Here is a 23,251-nt window from a genome sequence, read left to right as displayed (position 1 = left end):
GCAGGCGCCTGTAATCTCAGCTACTTGGGAGGCTGAGACAGGAGAATCGCTTGAACCCGGGAGGCAGAGTTTGTGGTGAGCTGAGATCACGCCACTGCACTCCAGCCTGGGAGACAAGAGCAAAACTCAGTCTCAAAAACAGAAAAAAAGAAAGAGTGGAAGCCAGTAAGGTAAACCAACAACACAGGGGTTTAGCCAAATAAAGTCCTTAAAAGCCAAAACTACACATGCATCACTACCACTTACCCAGGCAATTAACTCTTATCCTATGGCACTATTATAAAAAACCCCAAATCAGATGGCAAGTCATGTGACTTAGTTGGTGCCACCTGGAGCAAAGGTCTAGGATGAACTGCCAGGTTTGCACCAGACAGGGTGAAGTCTTAGAAAAGAATCTGTGTAACAGGGTTGGTCTGAGACTGCAGGAGCCAGGAGAGTTTCTAGGTAATGCAGACCCTTTTTGTTTCTCAAAAACAACTTCAGTCAGTCAGTATCGACAAGAAAAGGACAACTAGTATATCCAAGATATCTTACCTGTCCTATTTGTTGGCATCACTGCCTAGAAGGGAACTCCTGATCTGGAAGCTCGTTCTCAAGGTGCCACGTAAATTGATAGCAGCAGCTACTCAGTGCTGTGTTCACCGAAGTTAACAGATCTGAGGCTTCTAAGACCTTACTTGGTATTATCTAAATGTATTACTCTGTTCTTACACTGCTGCAAAGACCTGAGACCGGGTAATTCATAAACAAAAGAGGTTTAATTAGCTAATGGTTCCACACGCTGCAGAGGAAACACAGCTGGGGCAGGAGGCAGGGCGGCTCTGGAAACTTACAATCACGGCAGAAGGTGAAGGGGAAGCTGGCATATCCAACATGGCTGGAGCAGGAGGAACAGAGCGAAGGGGAGGGGCTAAACACTTTTAAATAACTCACACACTATCACGAGAACAGCAAGGGGAAGTCCACCCCCATGATCCAATCACTTCTCACCAGGCTGGCCCCTCCTCCAACACTGGGGATTACAATTCAATATGACATTTGGGTGGGGGTCAGGTGTGGTGGCCCACAGCTGTAATCCCAGCACTCCCTCAAGTGAGGCAGGTGGATCACTTGAGCCCAAGAGTTCGAGACCAGCCTGGCCAACATGGCAAAACCCCATCTCTATTAAACTACAAAAATTAGCTAGATGTGGTGGCACACACATGTAGTCCCAGCTACTCAGGAGGCTGAGGCACGAGACTCCCTTGAATCTGAAAGGCAGAGACTGCAGTGAGCCAAGATCACACCACGGCACAGCAACCTGGGTGACACAGCAAGGATCGGTCTCAAAATAAAAAACAAAAATAAAAAGAGAGAGATTTGAGTGTGGACACAGAGCCAAACCATATTACTAAATATTGTTAAGCTATCCCAACGGGCATATTAATAGGGAAGCCAGCGGGTGGGGAACTAGGACAAAACTGTTCCTTGTTAAAAAAATGTCTGGGAATAGCTAAAATAAACCCAGTACAGCATCTCAATCCTGGCTACACATCAGAATGCTTTGAGATTAAATGCCTCACACTGTTTAGAGGCAGGCAGGATAGGCAACCACTGGAATTAAAAAACCTTTCATATGAAAGGATGAGGTTTTTGACACAGAGTCCTCCCTATACACGCATTCCCCTAACTTACTTGACCACAGAACTTGGAGAAAACACAGCTAAGAAAATGCTGCTCCAGATAAGAAAACTATGTTGAAAACATGGAAATAATGGATCTGTATATCATACAATGAAAACTACACAAAAGAAAACACACATGAAGATGTTGCTGACATGAAAACCTTTCTTTTTAATTTGGTTGATACACATTTGACAAAATATTTTAGAATAAAATAATCCATGAACAGGTACAAGGTATTTACAGTAACATAATTGAAAAACATAAAATCGATATATTTCTTTAACAGAAATGTCTATAAAATTTTCTACTGTGAATCTGGAAGACTTTCAGTTCCTACTTATCAACCTGGTCTTAAGCCCCAACAGGCGACATGTAAGGCCCAGGAGTAGGATATACAAACTCTAACACATTTGGCAATTAAGAATCATCTATTAGTGTGAGCTGGCAGGCGGTGGGTGGGGGGTGGGGATGGGGAGGGAAGAACCAGATCTTAGGGTAAGATACAGAATGGAAGACTCCACTGAAAACAACTATGGACAAGAAAGATCTAAAATCACACTTATCTTTCACTTGTCTCCTGTGGGAGAAGGCTGCAAACTATTTTAAAGACTTAGTCAATTTTTCCCATTAGCAGAAAATCAGCAACCCTGAGACTCCAACATTTCATGACATAAAAGCTAATAAACATCTAGAAGCTGATTAAGATTTATAAACTAATTTTACATCAGATAGAAAATAACTCTTATGATTTAAAAATACATGTAAGGAAACAAAATTTCTCAAATTTATTTTTCATGCCTAATTCTTAAACATTTCAACTAATATTTTCTATTGTCTGAAATTAGTTCCACACACAGATACACTTTAACTGAATGCTTTGAGTACAACTTGCTCTTGATTATTAAATGGAATGCCTACTTCCTTGTATTATTATTCATACATATTTAAAAGAAATGAGAAGTTTAATCCATCTGGACTATACAGAAATTTATTGACTTACAAGATAGTCACATAGACAGAGACCAGAAAAAAATGATCAAATGCTCATTCTTAGTAACACAACTGAGACAGTGAAACACGGTACACCATACATGTCATCTACTGATCCAACTATGCTATCTGATAAGCTATACTTACAAAGAATGGTTCCAACAAACACCTTTGTAGAACAAATATTCACACTGTGTTATCAAATTTGCTGCTCCTCCAGTGGCGGTTCAAGAGCTTCCATTAGCTTTTTATTTGCCTCTTCATTATGCCGGCTTTGACAATGAGTTAAATGTTTCTTAAAACCTCTTGGGAAATTTGATTCAAAATTACAACGTGGACATTTAAGTAAACTTTGCCCATGGGCTGCTACATGATTTTTAAGGAGAGATTCCAAAAGAAAAGCCTTTCCACAGATTGTGCATTTGTAAGGGCTATGAACATTATGCTTATTAACCAAATGATGCAAAACAGCACCTTTTTTCATAGCACGACAGCAACAAATTTTGCAATAATACTTTCCTTTTCCACGCTTCATGTATTTTGCAATCTCCTCTTCAGAGATAAAAGCTTCTTTTTCTTCAGTAAACTGTAGCACATTTCTAGACTGCTCTGGACTAGTCATGTCCATTTTGTTCTCTTTGCTAAAATCAATGGATTCCACATCAACCTGCTCTTGATCACTGCTTGATTCCTGGCCCTTAATATCCATCGCATCCAAATCTGTTTTTATGTACTCACTACTACTAAGCTCAGCGTCTGAGCTCTCTTGGTTGTCTTTCTTGAGCTTCTTTGAGGAAGGAAATAAAGTATCTTCTAAGAGTTTCTTAGGTGAAGCTAGAAGTTCTTCCTGAACCAAAATATCACATTTTTGATCATCTATGGCATCTATTTGTAGTTCATCACCAAGCTCAACAGCCTTCTGTGATTCTGAGAATAGAGCAGATTTGGGGAGTTCAGGGAAAAGGGCATGCTTCCGGGGCTCTGGAAAAAGGGCACGTTTGCGTGCTTCTGGAGAAGCAGGAGGGGCTGTTTTGGCAGGCTCGGGAAACAGGGCAGGTTTTCTAGGCTCAGTATCGATAGAGAGAACAGGCTTCCAGATATCTGAGGCTGCTTTGGGGGACTCAGATGGCCCAGAAGGACCTGGTTTTCGGGTCTCAGGGAAGACAGGTTTCTGAGGCTCAATAAAAAAGGAAGACTTCCAGAGATCAGGAGAACCACCACGGGAACTTTTCTGGGACTCAGGGAAATCAAGTGAAGCAGGAGAAGTTTTCCGCTGATCAGGAGAAAGCTTCCAAAGATCTGGTGACCCTGAGGGTTTTCTGAGCTCTGGAGATCCTGCTGGACTACGGATCTCTGGGGATAGTGGTGGGCCGGGTTTGCGAAGCTCTGGAGACACTGGGGGAACTGCCTTCCAATGTTCAGGAGACAACGTGGGAGCTGTCTTTCGGAGTTCTGGTGGGCCAGACTTCCATGACTCAGGAGATGCAGGGGGAGACTTCCAGGAGCTGGGTGAGACTGATGAAGATTTCCAGGATGCAGAAGACACAGATGGAGTTGGTTTCCAAGGTCCAGGAGATACAGAAGGAATTGGTTTCCAAGGTCCAGGAGACACAGATGGAGCAGGTTTAGCTGGCTTCCAAGGTCCTGATGATGCTGAAGGATTGGATTTCCAAGGCCTAGGGGACCCAGGTGGCCCTGGTTTCCAAGAGCCTGGTGACACAGCGGGGGCTGGTCTCCTAGGCTCTGGGGAGACAGCAGGGAACGGCTTCCAAGGTTCAGGAGACTCTGAAGGGGATGGCTTCCTTGGCTCAGGGGAGGTAGTCCGGGCTGACTTCCGAGATTCTGGAGATGCAGCTGGGGATGGTCCCCAAGGTTCTGGGGAAGCAGCTAGAACTGGTGACTCTGGAGATGAGGCTGAAGGTGGCCCCAATGTTTCCGGGAAATGAGACTGCTTCTGGGGTTTGGGATTACTAAGAGTAGCCTTTACTGACTCAGGAGATACAGGGGCAGGTTTCTGTGGTTCTGGAGAAGGAACAGGGGCAAGTTTCTGAGACTCACAAACAGGGACTGATTTTGGAGGTTCAGGAGAAGAAACAGAGGCAGGTTTTGAAGGCTCAGGAGAAGGAAGAGGTGTCTGTAGCTCAGGAGAAACAACAGAGCCAGGTTTCTGAGGCTCCAGGGGAGTAAGAGGAGTAGGTTTTGGCGATTCTGGAGACAAAACTGAACCAAGTTTCTGTGTTTCCATTGAAAGGGCAGGTATGGATTTTGGTTCTGCTGAATTGCAGGGTATTTTCTGGTGTTCAGGAAGAGGAGGGCTTTTCACAGGATCTGTTTCTTTGTTCAACTGATTTTTTGGTTTATCATTCCATTTGTCTGGGGATGCATGTTTGGATGTGATGTGATAGTATACATTAGAGTACATCTTGCTGGTGAAGAAGCATTTATGGCAGTGAAATAACTTTGCACTTTTCTGGTAAAATATCATTTTGCCTAGCCCACCAGCATCCATTTCATCACAAAATTCTGGATGGATGGTACCCATATGGATTTGTACATTTTCATAGTCTGTGCCTCTGAAACTGCAATGGTCACACTCCAAACGTGCTGATGGTTTACGAAGTTCCTGGAATGCTTCCATTCTTCTGTCTGTTACCAACACACACGGTTATATTCTTTAAAAACTTTCAATACTGCTGCAATAAAGTAGGAATAAATTATTTTCATGAACTGTAATTCTGAATAAAATGCTGTCAGTCCATTCTATAACTGCATAATTTTAAGTCTAGAACAGTGCGTGCTTTATTTGATAGTATCTCTAGGGAGAATTTGAAGAAAAAGGAGATATAGAACAGTCCCAGGCACTCTGCTAGGAGTTTCACATACATCATCTCATTTAATCCTAATGATATGACTCAACTATTATTTTCACTTACAGATGAAGAAACAGGTTCAGAGAAGTTACCTGACTTTCTCTGGTCCAGGCTATAGGACTATCAGTGATGTGAGCCTGACTCTAGAATTAGCTATTGCATGTGCTTTATACTTTGACTCTCAAACTCCGAGTACAAAAGTCCTCAGCACACAAAGATGAGTGAATATCAAAATTAAATCTTGGCTATTTAAGGATGAACAAGAGACTAAAACTTTTGCAGAAAGCACTTAATAAATTAAATCTAGCTATAAAAAGATGACTTTAAAACATGATGCTGGCTTGATTTCATGTCAACATATTTTGTAATGTTTAATCTATCCCAATATAGTATTCTATTAATTCATTTAATAAATAAATAACTTTGTGTCCTACAATGTTCTAGGCACTTAGGCTTAAAGCAGTGCTTTGCAATATGGCGTTCATGAGTTGGAAAGATAAGGTGGAGAGTGATGTAGAGGCCGTTGGAAAAGACCTCTATGCATGGGACATTCCAGCAGAGATCCTGAATGATGTGAAGGCGCATACCAACCAAAGGGCAAATCAGAGGACACCCCAGCAGCTGGAACACAGTTGCCGGAAAACATGAATTTAAAAAAATTGTAAACCAGTCTTCTTAAGTAGTAAAGGGAATAGAAGCTCACAGTTAAAAACACATTCACACAGTACGAGATACAGAGTGTCAGTCCCTAGGGGTAGCCAGTGTACTCATGTGTCCTGGAAGAAATGTCCTAAGCATATATTGATCAACACACATGCTTTACACAAATGGGATATTAAACATATTATCTGGCAACTTACTCTCATTTAGAATTTATCTCTAAGACATTTTTACATATGGAATAAGCACTGACTTTCCCTGTACTTATCTGTGCATGTGAGGGTATTTCTGCAGGGAAAATTCCTAGCAATGGATTACTTGGCCATTTGTGTGTAAAATTGATACATTTTACCAAACTCTCAAAAACTTCTATTACTGCATAACAACGTGTATATATGAGAGACAATTTCCTATAAATTCCTAATCCTTGCTACAACCTAGGTGAAAGCTAGTATTTCACTATTGTGTTAATGTGCTTCTCTTTAATGAGAAAGACTGAACACCTTCCCTTATTGACGGTAATGATATTTACTCCTCCTCAAAGAACAGTACAGATTAGAAATGCAGGCTCTCCCTTTATTAATTACAAAACCATTATTTTAAAAAAATGTATAGGCTGGGCGCAGTGGCTCATGCCTGTAATCTCAGCACTTTGGGAGGCCGGGCAGGCAGATCACGAGGTCGGGAGATCAAGACCATCATGGCCAACATGGTGAAACCCCATCTCTACTAAAAATACAAAAATTAGCCAGGCGTGGTGGCGTGTGCCTGTAGTCCCAGCTACTTGGGAGGCTGAGGCAGGCCAATCGCTTGGACCAGAAGTCGGAGGTTGCAGAGAGCTGAGATCATGCCGCTGCATTCCAGCCTGGTGACAGAGCAAGACTCCATCTCAAAAAAAAAAAAAAAAAAAAAAATTAACATTTCTAACTTTGATAATTTGTTTTTAAAGATGTTCTCACTGGCAATACTGCTTCCTAACACTTTTATCCAAGGTATATCATTTGCCTTTTTTATTTTTTGATCTAAAGCTAAAAAGGTGACAGATACTTGAGGAAACAAATACTTTTCTTCGGAAACTATTTACTCTTTCTGAGTTGCCCAGCAGTTATCCTGTATTTTAGAAAACTGTTTTGGGGCCAGGACTGTAACAAAAGAAAAATAAATAATTCCGTACTGATGAAAAATCTCTGAAAATGATCTTTAACTTACAAACGTAATTGAATGCATGGAAAAATAATGGGTTAACCATCCGTCTCAGAGCCCATTGTTAAATAAAACTAGAAGACTTTAGGGGAAAACGTAGGATATGTCTCAATAATCCCATGAGGCAATAATGAACAGCCCAACTGGCAATAATGAACAGCCAAGCTAATATTAAAGAGCACTATATTACATATTGTAATTACAACAGAGACTAAGAGCTCAGGTGTGCTGGGTTTGAGTCTGACTCACCTACCATTCCCCATTCCTCCCAGCCATCCCTCCTCTTCCCGCTGCCTACCACCAGCTCTTCAGGCCAATCTCATACTTAAATCTACAAAGAATGCTACAGAATTCACTTCTCATATCCCAAATTATGTATATCTAGCACACAACACACATTATATCCATAAGGGCGTGTACACTTTTAGAGATTTTCCTCAAGAACTCCAGGTATTTTTTTTTAATTTTCTCCTCATAAAATATTCTCCTAAGCATGCTTTCCCTACTAGACTTACCTGCTGTCTTACTAGACACCTTAAAAGTGGTCTTCAAAAGGCAGGCATTCTACATGGCTTTTTGACTAAACCACAGCAAACAGCCTATAGTATATGAAGAAGAACAAAGATGAGAAGTTGAACCTGGAAAAAAAAAAAAAAAAAAAGAAAAGTAATCAAAACTATATCTGTGATCGTGTGTGCCCCCTGTAATGGAATTCTGTGTATTTCTCTCACCATCCTGCCCTAACAGTGAGAGGAGTCCAGTCCACTAAGCCTGCTTACTTTTTTTTTTTTTGAGACAGAGTCTTGCTCTGTCGCCCAGGCTGGAGTGCAGTGGCGCGATCTCGGCTCACTGCAAGCTCCGCCTCCAGGGTTCATGCCATTCTCCTGCCTCAGCCTCCTGAGTAGCTGGGACTACAGGCGCCCGCCACCACGCCCGGCTAGTTTTTTGTATTTTTAGTAGAGACGGGGTTTCACCGTGTTAGCCAGGATGGTCTCGATCTCCTGACCTCGTGATCCGCCCGCCTCGGCCTCCCAAAGTGCTGGGATTACAGGTGTGAGCCACCGCGCCCAGCCCGAACACTTACTTTTATGAAATGACACCAAAGACTACAGTAGATACCACTCCTGACACCATCCTTGTCTACTTTCTCTTTAATGATCCACTATGGAATTATGCCCGTGTGTGTAATCAAATCCTTCTCAAACCCACCACCTAACTTCACTTCTCTGATAAGCACTCAGAAGACTGCTGGTGTGACTACTGACTATAACAATGGCTGACTTTTGTCAATTATTGATATTACACAGCAGAGTGCCAAATTAACAGGCAGTGGAGGAAGGGACACCACAACAAAGAGGACCAAGAGGCACAAAAAGAAAGGACTCTGGGAGGAGCAGGATGGCAGTGTCCTGACCCCAAGGAAGAACACATGGACCTGCTTCAGTGATTGCTCTGCCCTCTTCTCTTCCTGCATGCATTTCAAAGATAAAGCATCATGGTGTGGGTGAGTCTGCTGACAGGAACAGAATGTGATAAACTGGCCATGCACAAGCTACACAACAGCTCATATTATGCTTCTGATTAGCTCCAGCACATTCATCTACCCCTTCTCTATCCCCTACCCCTATCACTGCTTTAATTCTGACATCTGAACTCCCTGCCACTAGTCTCCTTTTCTTCCAACCCATTCATCGTACAGCTACCAAACCTGTCTTCCAAACAGAAGCCTAATGTGATCTGCCTGTTCACATGTCCTCCAAGTCAACTAAGACACCTACAGTATACAATTTGAATATGGCATATAAAGCTCTTCACAGTCTGGCCCATGACCAGACTGCATTCTCAAAATACTGGCCCACATGTAACTCCCTGACTATTCCAGCGTCTGTGCATTTGTATAAACTATTTCCTCTCCTTTACACTCCCTGTCTTGCCACCCGGCCATCAGGCAAACTCCTTCATCCTTCAGGCAGGACAGCTTTTTAAGTCAGCTGTCTTTCTGTAAACACAGGGACCTGGTTCCAGGACTTCCCCCATATGCCAAAATCCACACATACTCAGGTCCTACAGTCAGCCTTGTGGAATTCCCATATATGAAACATCTGCCCTCCATATAAATGTTTCACATTCTGTAAACGCTCTTTTTTATTGGCATTTGGTTGAAGTTCTAACCTCTGTTATTCATGAGTCAACTGTACTGGTCAATTCCCCACTTCTTCCCAATCTTCCTAGAAGCCCCAGCTGTACATGTCACCCTCTGGCACTACAGCCTGATACCAAAAACAGGATGCCAGCTCCTGGAGAGGAGGGACTATTATCCCTTTATTCACCTCTGGAACCGTTGCACATCCCTGACACACAGTATGTGCTCTGTTCAATCCTAACATTCTCTCAATCTTAGACTCACAGGATTTTAAAACTAGAGGAAACCTAAGTTACCATCTAGTCTCAAAGTCATAGGATTTGAGGGTAGGAAAAGACCTCAGGGATCATCTACTTTAAAACTTCAATTTATAGTTAAGGAAACTCAAGCTTGACATTAAACAGCTTGCCCAAATCAGACAAATGATCAGTATCTGATGAGAGAATAAAGTTCTGCTATCTGTCCAGGTTCTTTGTAGATATACACAAACTAATACAGTGGAATTTAGTAAGATCTTTTAAAGCCTGTACAATAGTCCAAAATAAACAAGATGAAACAAACACTTAGAATCCACATATCAAGTGCATAAATACAGGACTATAGAGAACTATATCCCATATTCTGCACTGGGCAGAGTACACTATTCCAGTGGATCACTGTCCCCAGCTCTGGGCAGGAAGGACACTTTAAGAGAGTCTCTAACAAACTAGGGAACATTAAAAAAAAAAAAAAAAAAAAAAAAAAAAAGGCAACCAGGATGGCAGATGGCCCTTTAAAAAAAAAAAAGTCATTTACAAATAAAGACATTTAACTTCAAAAGGGGAAGAATTATAGATAATATATGAGCTATCCTAGAAGTGACAATCAGAAGCTAGCAGGAAAAGAATTGTGGCTTAACACAGTTTACAATCTACTCTATCATGAACTAGAACGAGTTCCTTTGTCAGGTAGGAGTACTCCATAATTAGAATCTGATGATCAGGCCGGGTGTGGTGGCTCAGGCCTGTAATCCCAGCACTCTGGAAGGCTGAGGCAGGTGGATCCCTTGAGCTCAGGGGTTCAAGAACACCCTGGGCAACACGGCGAAACCCCGTCTCTACAAAACATACAAAAATTAGCCGGGTGCAGCAGAATGCACCTATAGTCCCAGCTACTCGGGAGCCTGAGGCAAGAGAAATCGCCTGAGCCTGAGAGGCAGGAGTTGCAGTGAACCAAGACTGCACCATTACACTCCAGCCTAGATGACAGAGTGAGACCCTGTCTCAAAAAAGAAAACCAAAAAAAAAAAAAAATGATGATCAGCATAGGACTAGAAGGATCTTCAGAGGTCTTGAGTTCAACCTCTTCATTTTATAACTGAAAAGACTGATGCTGAGGGAAAGAAGTGACCTGTCAAAGATCACAACACTGAGGTCAGAGGGAACAGTTTTTTTATTCTGGTTTTCTCAATTCTGGTCTCTGCTGTAACAAAATGCTGTCTTTCCCACAGTAGCAGAACGATCCACGAAGATGTTACAGAATTTAGTCCCAGAATTCAACTTTTAGGCAAAGCCTAGAGAGCTGGGCGTCCTTCCAGCTTTTAGGTTCTAGCAAAATTTCTTCCTAAATTTAAGAACTCCTAACCCTAACTAAAAATTAACTCAGAATTGTCCAGATTAACAAAAATTTCTTTTTGTCTTTGAGACAGATTACATCTCGTCTCTAAAAAACCTAAATTCTAATCATTGGTGCTCTGCCAGTCTATCACCCAGTATCCTTCAATGCAATGTTATGCCAGATGGTGTATCATACCTATTTCCCATCTCCCATTCAATTTCTTCTTTGAAGTCGAACACCACTGATCATCTTTTAAAACACATCTGATGCATAGTTTTTTAAATTAAAATTCAATAAGTAGAACATGTTCAAAGCTAAATGGGTTCTATTAGTCTATACACACTAGCATTGTTCTTTATCTTAGCGGACTTTTTTTCTTTTTTAGAGACAGGGTCTCGCTCTGTTGCCCAAGGTTTTGGTGCAGTGACGCCATCACAACTCACTGCAGCCTCATACTCCTGGGCTCCAGAGATCCCCCCGCCTCAGCCTCCTAAGTAGCTGGGACCATAGGTACCTGCCACCACATCTGGCTAATTTTTTTTTTCTGTAGCGATGAGGTCTCACTATGTTGTCCAGGCTGGTCCTGAACTCCTGGCCTCCAGAGATCTTGTTGCCTTGGCCTCTCAAAGTGCTGGGATTACAGGTGTGAGCTACCATGCCTGGCCTTTAAGAAATTAATAAACTGGGCGGGCGCAGTGGCTCACACCTGTAATCCCAACACTTTGGGAGGCCAAGGCAGGCGGATCATTTGAGGACAGGAGTTCGTGACCAGCCTGGCCAACAGCCAACATGGTGAAACCCTGTCTCTACTAAAAATACAAAAATTAGCTGGGCGTGGTGGTGCATACCTATAATCCCAGCTACCTGGGAGGCTGAGGCAGGAGAATCGCTTGAACCCGGGAGACGGAGGTTGCAGTGACCCAAGACTGAGCCACTGCACTCCAGCTGGGCAACAGAGTAAGACTCCATACTCACCCCCAACCCAAAAAAGAAAGAAATTAATAAACTAATTTTCCAAGTAGTTTTATGTTTGAAGAAAAACTGAAGGGAATGTACAAGAATTCCCACCTATCTTCTTGTCCCCAGTTTTTCCTACTACAGGCTGAGCATCCCTAATCTGAAAATCTGAAATCTGATTATGCTCCAACATCCAAAACTTTTTGAGTGCCAAAAGGAGCATTTTAGATTTCAGATTACGGATGTTTAACCAGTAAGTACAATGCAACTATTCCAAAATCCAAAAAAAAAAAAAAAAATCCAAAGCACTTCTGGTTCCAAGCATTTCGAATGAAGGATACTTCACCTGTATTAACATCTTGCATTAGTGTGAGATATCTGCTACAATGATAAGCTAATACTGATTTATTAAGTAGTCTATAGTTTACACAAGGAGTCATTTTTATTTATTTATTTTTTTTTGAGAGGGAGTCTCGCTCTGTCACCCAGGCTGGAGTGTAATGGCGCAATCTCGGCTCACTGCAATCTCCACCTCCCAGGTTCAAGCGATTCTCCTGCCTCAGCCTCCCCAGTAGCTGGGACTACAGGCGCGCGCCACCACAGGCTCACGCCTGTAATCCCAGCACTTTGGGAGGCCAAGGTGGGCGGATCACCTAAGGTTGAAAGTCAGAGAGCAGCCTAACCAACGTGGAGAAACCTCGTCTCTACTAAAAATACAAAATTAGCCGGGTGTGGTGGCAGGCGCCTGTAATCCCAGCTACTTGGGAGGCTGAGGCAGGAGAATCGCTTAAATCCGAGAGACGGAGGCTGCAGTGGGCCAAGATCGCATAACTGCACTCCAGCCCAGGCAACAAAAGTGAAACTCTGGCTCATTAAAAAACAAAAACAAAAATAAAAACAAAAAACTTGCCATTTAGGCCGGACATGGTGGTTCATGCCTGTAATTTCAGCACTTTGGAAGGCCGAGGCGGGTGGATCACCTGAGGTCAGGAGTTCGAAACCAGCCTGACCAACATGGAGAAACCCTATCTCTACTAAAAATACAAAATTAGCCAGGTGTGGTGGCAAGCGCCTGTAATGCCAGCTACTTGGGAGAATGAGGCAAAAGAATCCCTTGAACCCAGGGGGCGGAGGTTGCAGTGAGCCAAGGTCGGGCCATTGCACTCCAGCCTGGGCAACGAGAGCGAAACTCCCGTCTCAAAAAAAAAAAAAAAAACAAAACTTGCCATTTAATCATTTTTAAAAGCACAATTTAGTTAGTTTAGTACTAAAACGTTGTGCAAACATCACCACTATCCACTTCCAGAACTTCTTCACCACAAACAGAAATTCTGTACCCATGAAACAGTAACTTCCACTCTCCACTTTCAGTGCTGGTAATCTCAATTCTGTGCCTGAGGGGGAATCATACAGTATGTCTTTTTTGTGTCTTATTTCACTCAACATAATGTGTTCAATGTGCTCGTTTATACTGTATAATGTGTTCGTTTATATTGCAGCATGTATCAGAATTTCATTCCTTTCTAAAGATGAACAATGGTCCATTCATTATATGTATATACCACAGCTTGCCTTTCATCCACATGTTGATAGACATCTGGATTTTGAATAATGCTGCGATGAACATTTGTGAACAAGTATCTGAGTCTCTGCTGTCAATTTTTGGGGGTATAAACCTAGAACTGAGGAACGACTACCAATTTCCATAGCTGCTGCACCACCCTACTTTCCCACCAGCAATGCACCCGAGCTTCAATTTCTCCACATCCCCAACACTCATAATTTCCCTTTTTTTTAATAGCCACCCTAACAGGTGTGAGGTGGTATCTCATTGTGGTTTTCATCTGCATTTCCTTAATGGTTAGTGATGTTGAGCATCACTGCACGTGCTTATTGGCCATTTGTCTCTCTTCTCTGGAGAAATATCTATTCAAATTCCTTGCCCATTCTTGAACTGGGTTGCTTTTTGTTGGTCAGTTGCATCTCTTCTTGTATTCTAGACATTAACTCTTTATCAGGTTTACAAATGTCCTCTCCCACTTTGGAGGCTGTATAGCGGATTTTTAAACAGTAATAATGACAGAAGAGGAGGCAGTCTAGAACTAAAACAGAAAGAATGGCTTTCGTCTTGTGCCGCCCTCAACTTCCCAATGGTTTCAAACGCAATGTTTCCAGCCTCGGCAGCGACTGACACCGGGCCTCCCCGCTCCCTGCACAAAGACGCACTCCCGCCCCGGCCTGTGGGGGCGGGCCCTTCCCTCGGGCCGTGTGGGAAGCGAGGCAGCGCAGGCCCCCTTCACTCGGACCCGCGGCTTCCCGGGACCGTCCCCGCCAGGTCGGCGGCCGACACGGGGCTCGGGGATGCAGGCCCCAACCACGCCCCTCCCCCGCTCGCTCTCGCTCCTCACCGGTCCGGCCGCGGGCGGCGTCCAGTGGGCGATGGACCGCGCGGAGGGCCCGGCTCGCGGTCGCGGGCGGCTCCGCGAGGCCCTGCAGCGCAGCGGCCTCCCGAATGGCGACTGGATGCAGGAGCCGGGATCCGGGTGCGCGAGCGTGCGCGCTCCCGCGGGACGGGCGGGGGCTGACGGGAAGCAAGTTTGGCGCCGCGCGCCCTCCCGCGCGGGCCAATCAGATCGCCGATCGCGTGGCGCGGCTGTGCCAAAAGTGCGTGGGCAAAACTAGCGGCTCGCGCGGGCCTTCGGAAGGGCTGCGTGCCCGCCCCGCCCCGGAAGTGCCGCACGTGCCCACTCCGCCTCCGCTTCCCGCGCGCGCCCGGGCGCGGCTCCGGGAGGGTTCCGCCGCGTCTGGCCTGTGGCCTCCGGCCAGGCCCTTGGAACGGCCCCGGCCTGCCGCCGCCGTGCGGATATCTCTTCCTTTTCTTGCTGTTTTGATTGTTGTGTGAATGAATTTATTAGGAAAAAAAGAGCTAGACCTGCCCCATACATTCTCAGGGATATTACTGGCATAATACCTATGACAAAAGTACAAGACAAAGTTGTTGGATGACAGTAAATATTCCTTTTCTCATCACCCCGCCTCCACTGAAAGTCCCGATTCCCAGAAGTTATCTTCTTCGTTTTTTGTTTTCAGTTTTATGAATGTTACCACCACAATTCTAATTAAAATGCATGCACCTCTAATGCTGATGCCATCAGTCTGTATGCTTTGAAAGACTGTAAAATTAGCTCACACTGCTCTCTACCTTTGTACCCTTCTGAAGTTTTGCTTGTTGTGAATTTCATTTTTGTTTTTGTGGTGAAAATGAACTATAGAATGGCCGGGCGCGGTGGCTCACGCTTGTAATCCCAGCACTTTGAGAGGCCTAGGCAGGTGAATCATCTGAGGTCAGGAGTTCGAGACCAGCCTGTCCAACCTGGTGAAACCTTGTCTCTGCTAAAAATACAATATTAGCCAGGCGTGGTGGCGGGCGCGTGTAACCCCAGCTACTAGGGAGGCTGAGGCAGGAGAATCCCATAGAACCGGGGAGGCGGAGGTTACAGCGAGATCGCGCCACTGCACTCCAGCCTGGGGGAGAGAGTGAGACTCTGTCTCAAAAAAATAAAAATAAAATCCATAGAATTTACCGTCTTAACTATCTTTACGTGTACAGCTCAGTGGTGGTAAGTATATTCATAACACCACCATCCATCTCTGTACCTCTTTCATCTTGAAAAACAAACTATGCATTACATGTTAACTCTCGGTTCCCCTCTACCTTCTACTTTCTGGCAGTCACCATCTTACTTCCTGTGTCTCTGAGTCTGACTACTCATAAGAGTGGAATCATACAGTATTTGTCTTGTGACTGACTTATTTTACTTAGCAGAACATCCTCAAGGTTCATCCATGTTGTAGCACATTGTGGAATTTCCTTCCTTTTTAACACTGAATACTATCCCATTGTATGGATATGCCACATTTTGCTTATCCACTCACCTGTTGATGGACACTTGGCTTGCTTCCCTATTCAAGATATTGTGAATAATGCTTTGACATTTTCAAAGAACCAATTTTTGGTTTCATTGATTTTCTCTATCGTTTTCTATTTTCTATTTCATTTATCTTGGCTTTAATCTTTATTATTTCCTTCTTTTTGCCAGCTTTGGATTTAGTTTTTCTTTTTATAGTTCATTAAGTTGTAAAGTTAGGTTGTTAATTTGAGATTTTCTTGGTTTTTGATGTATTTATAGCTATAAACTCCCCCTTTAGCATTGCTTTTGCTGTATCACAAAAGTTGCTATATTGTGTTTACATTTTTTTCTTTTCTTTTCTTTTCTTTTTTTTTTTTTTTTTTTTTTGAGACAGAGTCTCGCTCTGTCGCCCAGGCTAGAGTGCAGTGGCGCCATCTCGGCTTACTGCAAGCTCCGCCTCCCGGGTTCATGCCATTCTCCTGCCTCAGTCTCCCGAGTAGCTGGGACTACAGGCTCCCGCCACCACGCCCGGCTAATTTTTTTGTATTTTTTTAGTAGAGACGGGGTTTCACCGTGTTAGCCAGGATGGTCTCGATCTCCTGACCTCGTGATCCGCCCGTCTCAGCCTCCCAAAGTGCTGGGATTACAGGCGTGAGCCACAGCGCCTGGCTCTACCTCCCTTTCATGCAAAATTTAGGATCCTGTGTTAATTTCCGGAATGATTCTGATTTCTAGGATTCAAATATCAATATTAAATATTTTAGGATTTTTCTAAGTTTTGTTTTTGCAGCAAAATTGATTCATTAAATTTAATAGATTTCTTTAAAAAGTATCCACCTAGTTACAAGCTTTTAAAAGAGCCAATGAAAACAGTTTGTAAACTGTAAATGTTAAATGCAGAAATGAGAGGATCTTTTATTTTCTCTGAATAGCAAAGATTTACTGATTGAGAACTTTTTGAGATCCTGACTCTTAATATGAAACAGGTTCGTTGTGGCTGCAGGACCTAATTTGAATGGCTGCTTCAGTTGTTTTTTCCTGAAGTGTCAGAATGAGTTGATGATCCCAAGAGACCTATTCCAATTGAACACTGAACAAAACTCTAGCAGAAGGCAACTCTTGGTGACGAAATAACAAAAACCAAAACACCCTCTGCTATTATTCTGAATTGAAATCATGTTAAAAAAGCTATTGTAGTTATAGAATATTAAATAGTTCAAGATGAATAATGCAAATAAACTCCCAATTTGGCCTTTTGAAAGGTTCCCAGTATATTGCACTAAACTTTAAAGTAACCAAAGAAAGCAGAAATAACTCTCATAAAATCCTGTACTAAAACCAGACCCTTATGGACTTTCAAAATTTCACTTAAGGATCTATTGAACATATACTTCTCAACAGTTTATTTTGATGTTTTCTCAACCTATACTATGTTCCAGGGACCAGACTTGAATCAGGGAATGGGTAGAGGCAGGTGAACTACAATTGCAGTAGAAAGTGGCAGCCTGACAGCCTTTGAGGAGCTGCAAACTCATTAGCTGAGATGGCACTGGACTTTGTCATTTGTCTTCTGTGTATAAAGAATAACAGTGCTGAGTATCTGCACATATTCAAAACCTACACAGAATCATGTTGTCAAATGAAGCAGCCAAAATCAGACTGGCTTTCTGTCAGAAAGTCAGACTTAATTTTTCCATTCAAATTGCTGCATTAATATGTATTACAAGGAACATAATAAAAATTAGAAATAAATTATTAAGTGCTTCCTGTAAGAGAAATAATAAAAGCAGTCCAGCTTATAATTTAGATCTAATATAATCAACTTAGCTACTTTATAATAAAAAAGGACAAATTATTCTGCTATTTCTACTTAATTTATAATAATGCAAAATAATGGGAACTAAAATAAGTTACTTAATGGGAAGTATGATAAAATGGAATTCCTCCTGAGTATCTAGCTCTGTTGCTGGGCTTTGGGGAATGTCAAAGTATAGTTCTCAAAAGTTAAACACATGACTCACACGAATATAAAGTGAACACATATCAGAGGATTTATTTTATTTTGTATTTTTTTTTGAGACGGAGTCTTGCTCTGTCGGCAGGCTGGAGTGCAGTGGTGCGATCTCTACTCACTGCAACCTCCACCTCCCGGGTTCAAGTGATTCTCCTGCCTCAGCCTCATGAGTAGCTGGGACTACAGGCACTTGCCACCACGCCCAGCTAATTTTTGTATTTTTGGTAGAGATAGGGTTTCACCATGTTGGCCAGGACGGTCTCAATCTCAGAGGATTTATTTAACTCATTCATGAGGGAATCCAGAGGAGGATGAAGCTAGTTCAGAAGGTTCATAAAGCTGAGTACGTGCAGCCACTAGAAAAAGTGGAGTCAAATGGCCAGTTAGAAACAAAAGTGGTTAGGATCCTACAGGGAAGCACAACTGCCACCTTTGAGGCCATGTTATAGAAATCACTCACATCTCTACTGGGCAAAAATCCGTAAGGAAACATGTGATGTCACAGTGTGGGCACAAATGTGGGTCAACTGTTAAATAATCGGAGCTTGTCAGACATGACACAGCCATGCAATCACTCTTTTTTGCCTTATTTCCGAGTTTTAGACATTTTTTTAAATAGGACTGAAAAATAAAAATCAAATATAAAAATTAGAATCAAGTCCATTAATATTTTCTTAATTTTTTTTTTTAACCATTCACTAGCCCCAGTTTTGGAGGGAGGAGAGGATGCCCAGGCCCCAGAAGCCTTTGCTGGTGGGCATGGGGCTCTTCCTTTCCTCTCAGGCAGAGCAGCAGACTTTGCTGAAGGGCAGTCTAGGTCCACACAGCTGCCAGGGGTGGCAGATGGGCACTGACTGCTGCATTGCAGGCACTCAATCAATGCTAGTTGAGCGCCAGTGAGCGAGTGAAAGGCAACTGGGAGCCTGGTGCTGGCCGGCAGAGCAGCTAAGTTCTCATATGGCCAGTTTACCGTGTAAGTGCAAAGCCAGCCTCAATCAATCCTGCTACACTCTTCATGAAAAGAGCAGCAGAGGGCACTTTGTTTCAAGCAGGCTGCCCAAGAACTATGGTCACCTGCTCTGCTGGTTGAAGAAAAAAAAAAGCAGGAGTGGTGAGCATAGAAACCAGCCTGGCCCTGGATACTGCTTGTGGTTGCAGAACTGCAGAGAGAGCCCATGGTCTCTCCTGCCCCGCATTGTGTACCAGGTGTGCAGCCAGGCTCCCTCTCCGAGCAAGGACTTCTACCACCTGCCATCACTAAAGCTGAGGTAAGGCACTGGCAACACTAGAGACCTACAGCTTTAATGCTGGTTGAAAACATACTTTCTCCTGTTCTGGGAATGGCAGGCACAGTCGCTGAGAGCTTTGGCTGTGAAGTCAGACCAACCTATGTTAGAATTTGCCTCTGTAACTTACTGTGTGCGCGTGCACATGCTTGAATGTGAACTTGGGCAAGGCTACTTTCTCATATGTTTGCATGCAGTGGAACGATAGTACCCACCTTATAAGCTTGTTTTGGCATAAGACAGCATGAAGTGTTCAGAGCACTTAGTGCTAGCACACTGAACAGAATCAATGTTAGATGCCATTATTTTATACTGATTTAATTACAGTAACAAGAACTCTGACCATTAATAGAGAATACTTACTTCATAGGATGAGTATCAGGACCCAATAAGAATAAAAGATTTGAGAGACAGTTTGGGGAAACAGGTAAGGGGATGGGCTTAAAGTATGATTTTCAGAAAGGCAAAAACATGCACTTGAGAGGCTGAGGTGGGAGGACTGCTTGAGGCCAGGAGTTTGCGGCTGCAGTGCACTGTGATCACACCCGTAAATTGTCAATGGCCTCCAGCCTGGGCAACACAGCAAGACCCCAGCTCCATAAACATGACTCAGACACAGAATGAACAAGGAACATATATCAAAGTTTAAGCAATTTGCTAATGGGGCTGTTTCCAAAATACATCCTATAAAACCTAAGGGTAAGTTTTTATGTGGTTTCATCCTAATAAAGTGTGCAGTAATCATTAAGATAGTTAAAACCTGTTTCTACCAAATGTTTCCCAGTTGCAGTCATTCTTTATCCAATTAAATATTTTATTTCTGGCCAGGCACAGTGGCTCACGCCTGTTAATCCCAGCACTTTGGGAGGCCAAGGTGGGTGTTATCACCTAAGGTCAGGAGTTCAAGACCAGCCTGGCCAACATGGGGAAACCCCGTCTCTACTAAAAATACAAAAAATTTAGCCAGGCGTGGTGGCGCACGCCTGTAGTCCCAGCTGCTCAGGAGGCTGAGGCGGGAGGATCATTCGAACCTGGGAGGTGGAGGTTGCAGTGAGCCGAGACTGTGCCACTGCACTCCAGCCTGGGCAACAGAGTAAGACCCTGTCTCAAAAAAAAAATTTTATTTCCACCTTCCATTAGTTAGAAAAGTTATAAACTAAATGATAAATGCAATTAGTTTTCAGCAGCATATACTTTAATGTTTTCTTAAATACATGTAAAACACTTGGTCATGTTGTAAAACAAAATTATAATTTAAAAAATCTTTTCAATATTCCCAAAAGCCCCATGCTAGAGTTTTACATATTCATACACATATTTACTGAAGAAATAGAACTCCCATTATCACACGGCTGGCCTCACCAATAACTCATACATGTAGCTAAACATTATATTGTATTATTTAAATTAGGTAATGAGAAAGACTATTTGCTCTATATAATTTTAATCTTGACTTTACTACATTTTCCAGAAATTGGATGAATTAAATCTGCAATCCAAGGCTTTGGCAAATATGCATTGAACACTTTATAAAAATATTGCACTGACAAAGATGTGCTGAAATCACTGCTAATCCCCCAAACCTTTCTGAATATGTCAGATTGAGCTCTTTCTCTCCAAGAGTGGAAAAGCAACAGGTGTAATTAATAGTTAGCTGGTAAGTCCTGGGAAACCTTTTATATTTACTTCTCAGAAACAGAGAAACTGGATGATTTTAGTGATTGAATAATAAATCCTTTTAAAAGTTAAGTGATTCCCAATCGTTAGCTTTCAATAAAATTGAAACAATTATGAGATGGTAGACCATTAGAAGTAATACTGATTATAGATAACTGAACATTTTGCAATATAACTTGAAAGAAAACAATTTTTTTTTGAGATGGAGTCTCACTATGTCACCCAGGCAGGTGTGCAGTGGCACAATCTCGGCTCATTGCAACCTCTGTCTCCCCGGTTTAAGTGATTCTCCTGCCTCAGCCTTCCCAGGAGCTGGGATTACAGGCGTGTACCACCATGCCCAGATAGTCTTTTTGTATTTTTAGTAGAGACAGGGTTTCACCATGTTGACCAGGCTGGTGTTGAACTCCTGACCTCAAGTGATTAGCCTGCCTCAGCCTCCCAAAGTGCTGGGATTACAGGCATGAGCCATCACGCCCGGCCAGAAATTAAAGAATTAAGTGGTGTTAACCTAACAAAACTCCTCTCTTCCTTTTTACTGTGTGAGCAAGATTTCTCAGTAGTTATATTAATAAAATTAAAAACTGGAGTAGAATTGTCCAACACTATCTTATTCTATTAGTAAAAGGTATTCAACTCATCCACTGATAGATAAACCAACTGGGAAAATACATCCCCATCCGAGATGAATTTTCTTTTTAATGCATTATTACTAGAAATTTTAAACATTCAAGGAAGAGAGGGTAATATAATGGACTCTCATCAGTTTTATCAGCTATCAATATTCTGCCTGAGAAACATAAAGAACTTCATAAATGCAAGGTACTGTTATTTAAGCAATCTAGAAATTCTTAATGATCACCGACTTTCCAGTGGGAATATGGCTTTATTTTACAGATAAGATATTCCCCTTGTGAAGAAGCATGGGCGTATGTGTTTTTAAAATCCAGTGTTTTTTGTTTGTTTTAAGTTTGGCGAAGTTTTAATGAGCAAGAGTAAGGGTTGAAGTGAGGAGGAATTATGCTGTTAGCTGGCTCTGGGAATCCCATGGTCACACAGAAACGGATTCCTTTGTCAACAGGAAGTCTGGTTATCACCCTCAATTGCAGGCACTCACTTTGGTCAGGGAGACATCTCTCCACACTTGCACCATCTTCACAGACTCAGGCGGGATTCGATGGTCAAAGCTCTAAAAGCATTGGCCATCGACCATTACCTGGTACTTACTGTCCAGCACCAAGATGCTCAGGTCAAATTCTTTGCCATTCTGAAAGGGCATATTTTTGGATTTCATCTCAGGCTTCCAGGCCCCATTCTCACGCTGTTCATGACCACACAACGGCCAAAGAACACTTGGAAATGGAAGGTGATGTCTGAGTCTTCATTCATCCTGGTGTGGAAATCCACCTGCAGCTGTGGTTCATTGATGAAACAAACAACTAGCCTCCCTTTGATGTCAAGTAGAACCAATAGACAAGAGCACAGTCTGTGTGTGTGGCACAAGTAGTTGTGACATTGTTGTCTCCCTCTGGGTGGCTCTTCTGAATTGTGTTTAGTATTCTTTTTTTTTTGAGACGGAGTCTTGCACTTTTGCCCAGGCTGGAGTGCAGTGACACGATCTTGGCTCACTGTAAGCTCCGCCTCCCAGGTTCATTCTCCTGCCTCAGCCTCCTGAGTAGCTGGGACTACAGGCGCCCGCCACCGCACCCGGCTAATTTTATTTTACTTTTTTATTTTTAGTAGAGACGGGGTTTCACCGTGTTAGCCAGGATAGTCTCGATCTCCTGACCTCGTGATCTGCCCTCCTCGACCTCCCAAAGTGCTGGTATTACAGGCGTGAACCACCATGCCTGGCCCTGAATTTTTTTTTTTTTTAAAGAGTGGGTGGGTGAGTTTGCTTGTCATAACCTAGTGTTTTGTCTTTCTCTCTTGCTCTGATAGGGCAGATGTAGACAGTGTTTGTTTAAGAAAAATTAGCCAGGTGTGGTGGCGCACACCTGCAATCCCAGCTACTCTGGAAGCTGAGGTAGGAGAATTGCTTGAACCCAGGAGGCGTGAGTTTCGGTGAGCTGAGATCACGCCACTGCACTCCAGCGTGGGTGACAGAGCGAGACTCCATCTCCAAGAAAAAAAAAAAAGATTTTCCAAGTCATTCTCTGTCCTTTTGAAAGTCTGTGTAATATTTACCAGTAAAATATTTTAAGGCCTTACCTTTTGGAATTTTTTGCACGTTTCTGACAGCTGCTCAGTGTCATCCAAACCAAGACAAGAGAAGATCT

The 23,251-nt window shown here is 42.9% G+C and overlaps 1 protein-coding gene and 1 pseudogene across 4 annotated transcripts, besides 2 other annotated features; both read right to left on the bottom strand.

The window, feature by feature from the left end:
- Positions 1,814-14,633, bottom strand: CHAMP1 (chromosome alignment maintaining phosphoprotein 1). 4 transcript variants are annotated; one of them, XM_047430277.1, is made up of 3 exons: positions 14,493-14,633; positions 7,904-8,026; positions 1,814-7,073 (listed from the first exon to the last, which is right to left on the bottom strand). In XM_047430277.1, the coding sequence occupies exon 3, from the start codon at positions 5,291-5,293 to the stop codon at positions 2,855-2,857; it is 2,439 nt and encodes an 812-aa protein (XP_047286233.1). In that variant the 5' UTR covers positions 5,294-7,073; positions 7,904-8,026; positions 14,493-14,633; the 3' UTR covers positions 1,814-2,854. The 4 variants fall into 4 exon arrangements, with proteins under 4 accessions (XP_047286233.1, NP_115812.1, NP_001157616.1 ...); NM_032436.4 differs by having other exon boundaries at positions 1,814-5,348; NM_001164144.3 differs by having other exon boundaries at positions 1,814-5,345.
- Positions 14,296-14,975: a silencer, noted in NCBI's record as "silent region_5563". NCBI's record gives its function as "represses an Ori minimal core promoter by ATAC-STARR-seq in GM12878 lymphoblastoid cells {active_cell/tissue: GM12878}" and the evidence as "EXISTENCE:reporter gene assay evidence [ECO:0000049][PMID:35858748]".
- Positions 15,748-16,042: a silencer, noted in NCBI's record as "tiled region #14980; HepG2 Repressive non-DNase unmatched - State 3:PromF". NCBI's record gives its function as "represses a minimal TATA promoter and a strong SV40 promoter by Sharpr-MPRA in HepG2 cells {active_cell/tissue: HepG2}" and the evidence as "EXISTENCE:reporter gene assay evidence [ECO:0000049][PMID:27701403]".
- Positions 21,940-22,546, bottom strand: CLCP2 (Charcot-Leyden crystal protein pseudogene 2; annotated as a pseudogene).

The sequence above is a fragment of the Homo sapiens genome, chromosome 13 (assembly GCF_000001405.40).
Source record: "Homo sapiens chromosome 13, GRCh38.p14 Primary Assembly".
Classification (NCBI taxonomy): Eukaryota; Metazoa; Chordata; class Mammalia; order Primates; family Hominidae; genus Homo; species Homo sapiens.
Note: the sequence above shows the minus strand (reverse complement) of the source record. Positions and strands in the feature narration are given on the sequence as shown.

What these genes read in the sequence shown, in the direction of transcription:
- CHAMP1 (XM_047430277.1), bottom strand. Translation starts at nt 5,293, where the DNA reads ATGGAAGCATTCCAGGAACTTCGTAAACCATCAGCACGTTTGGAGTGT.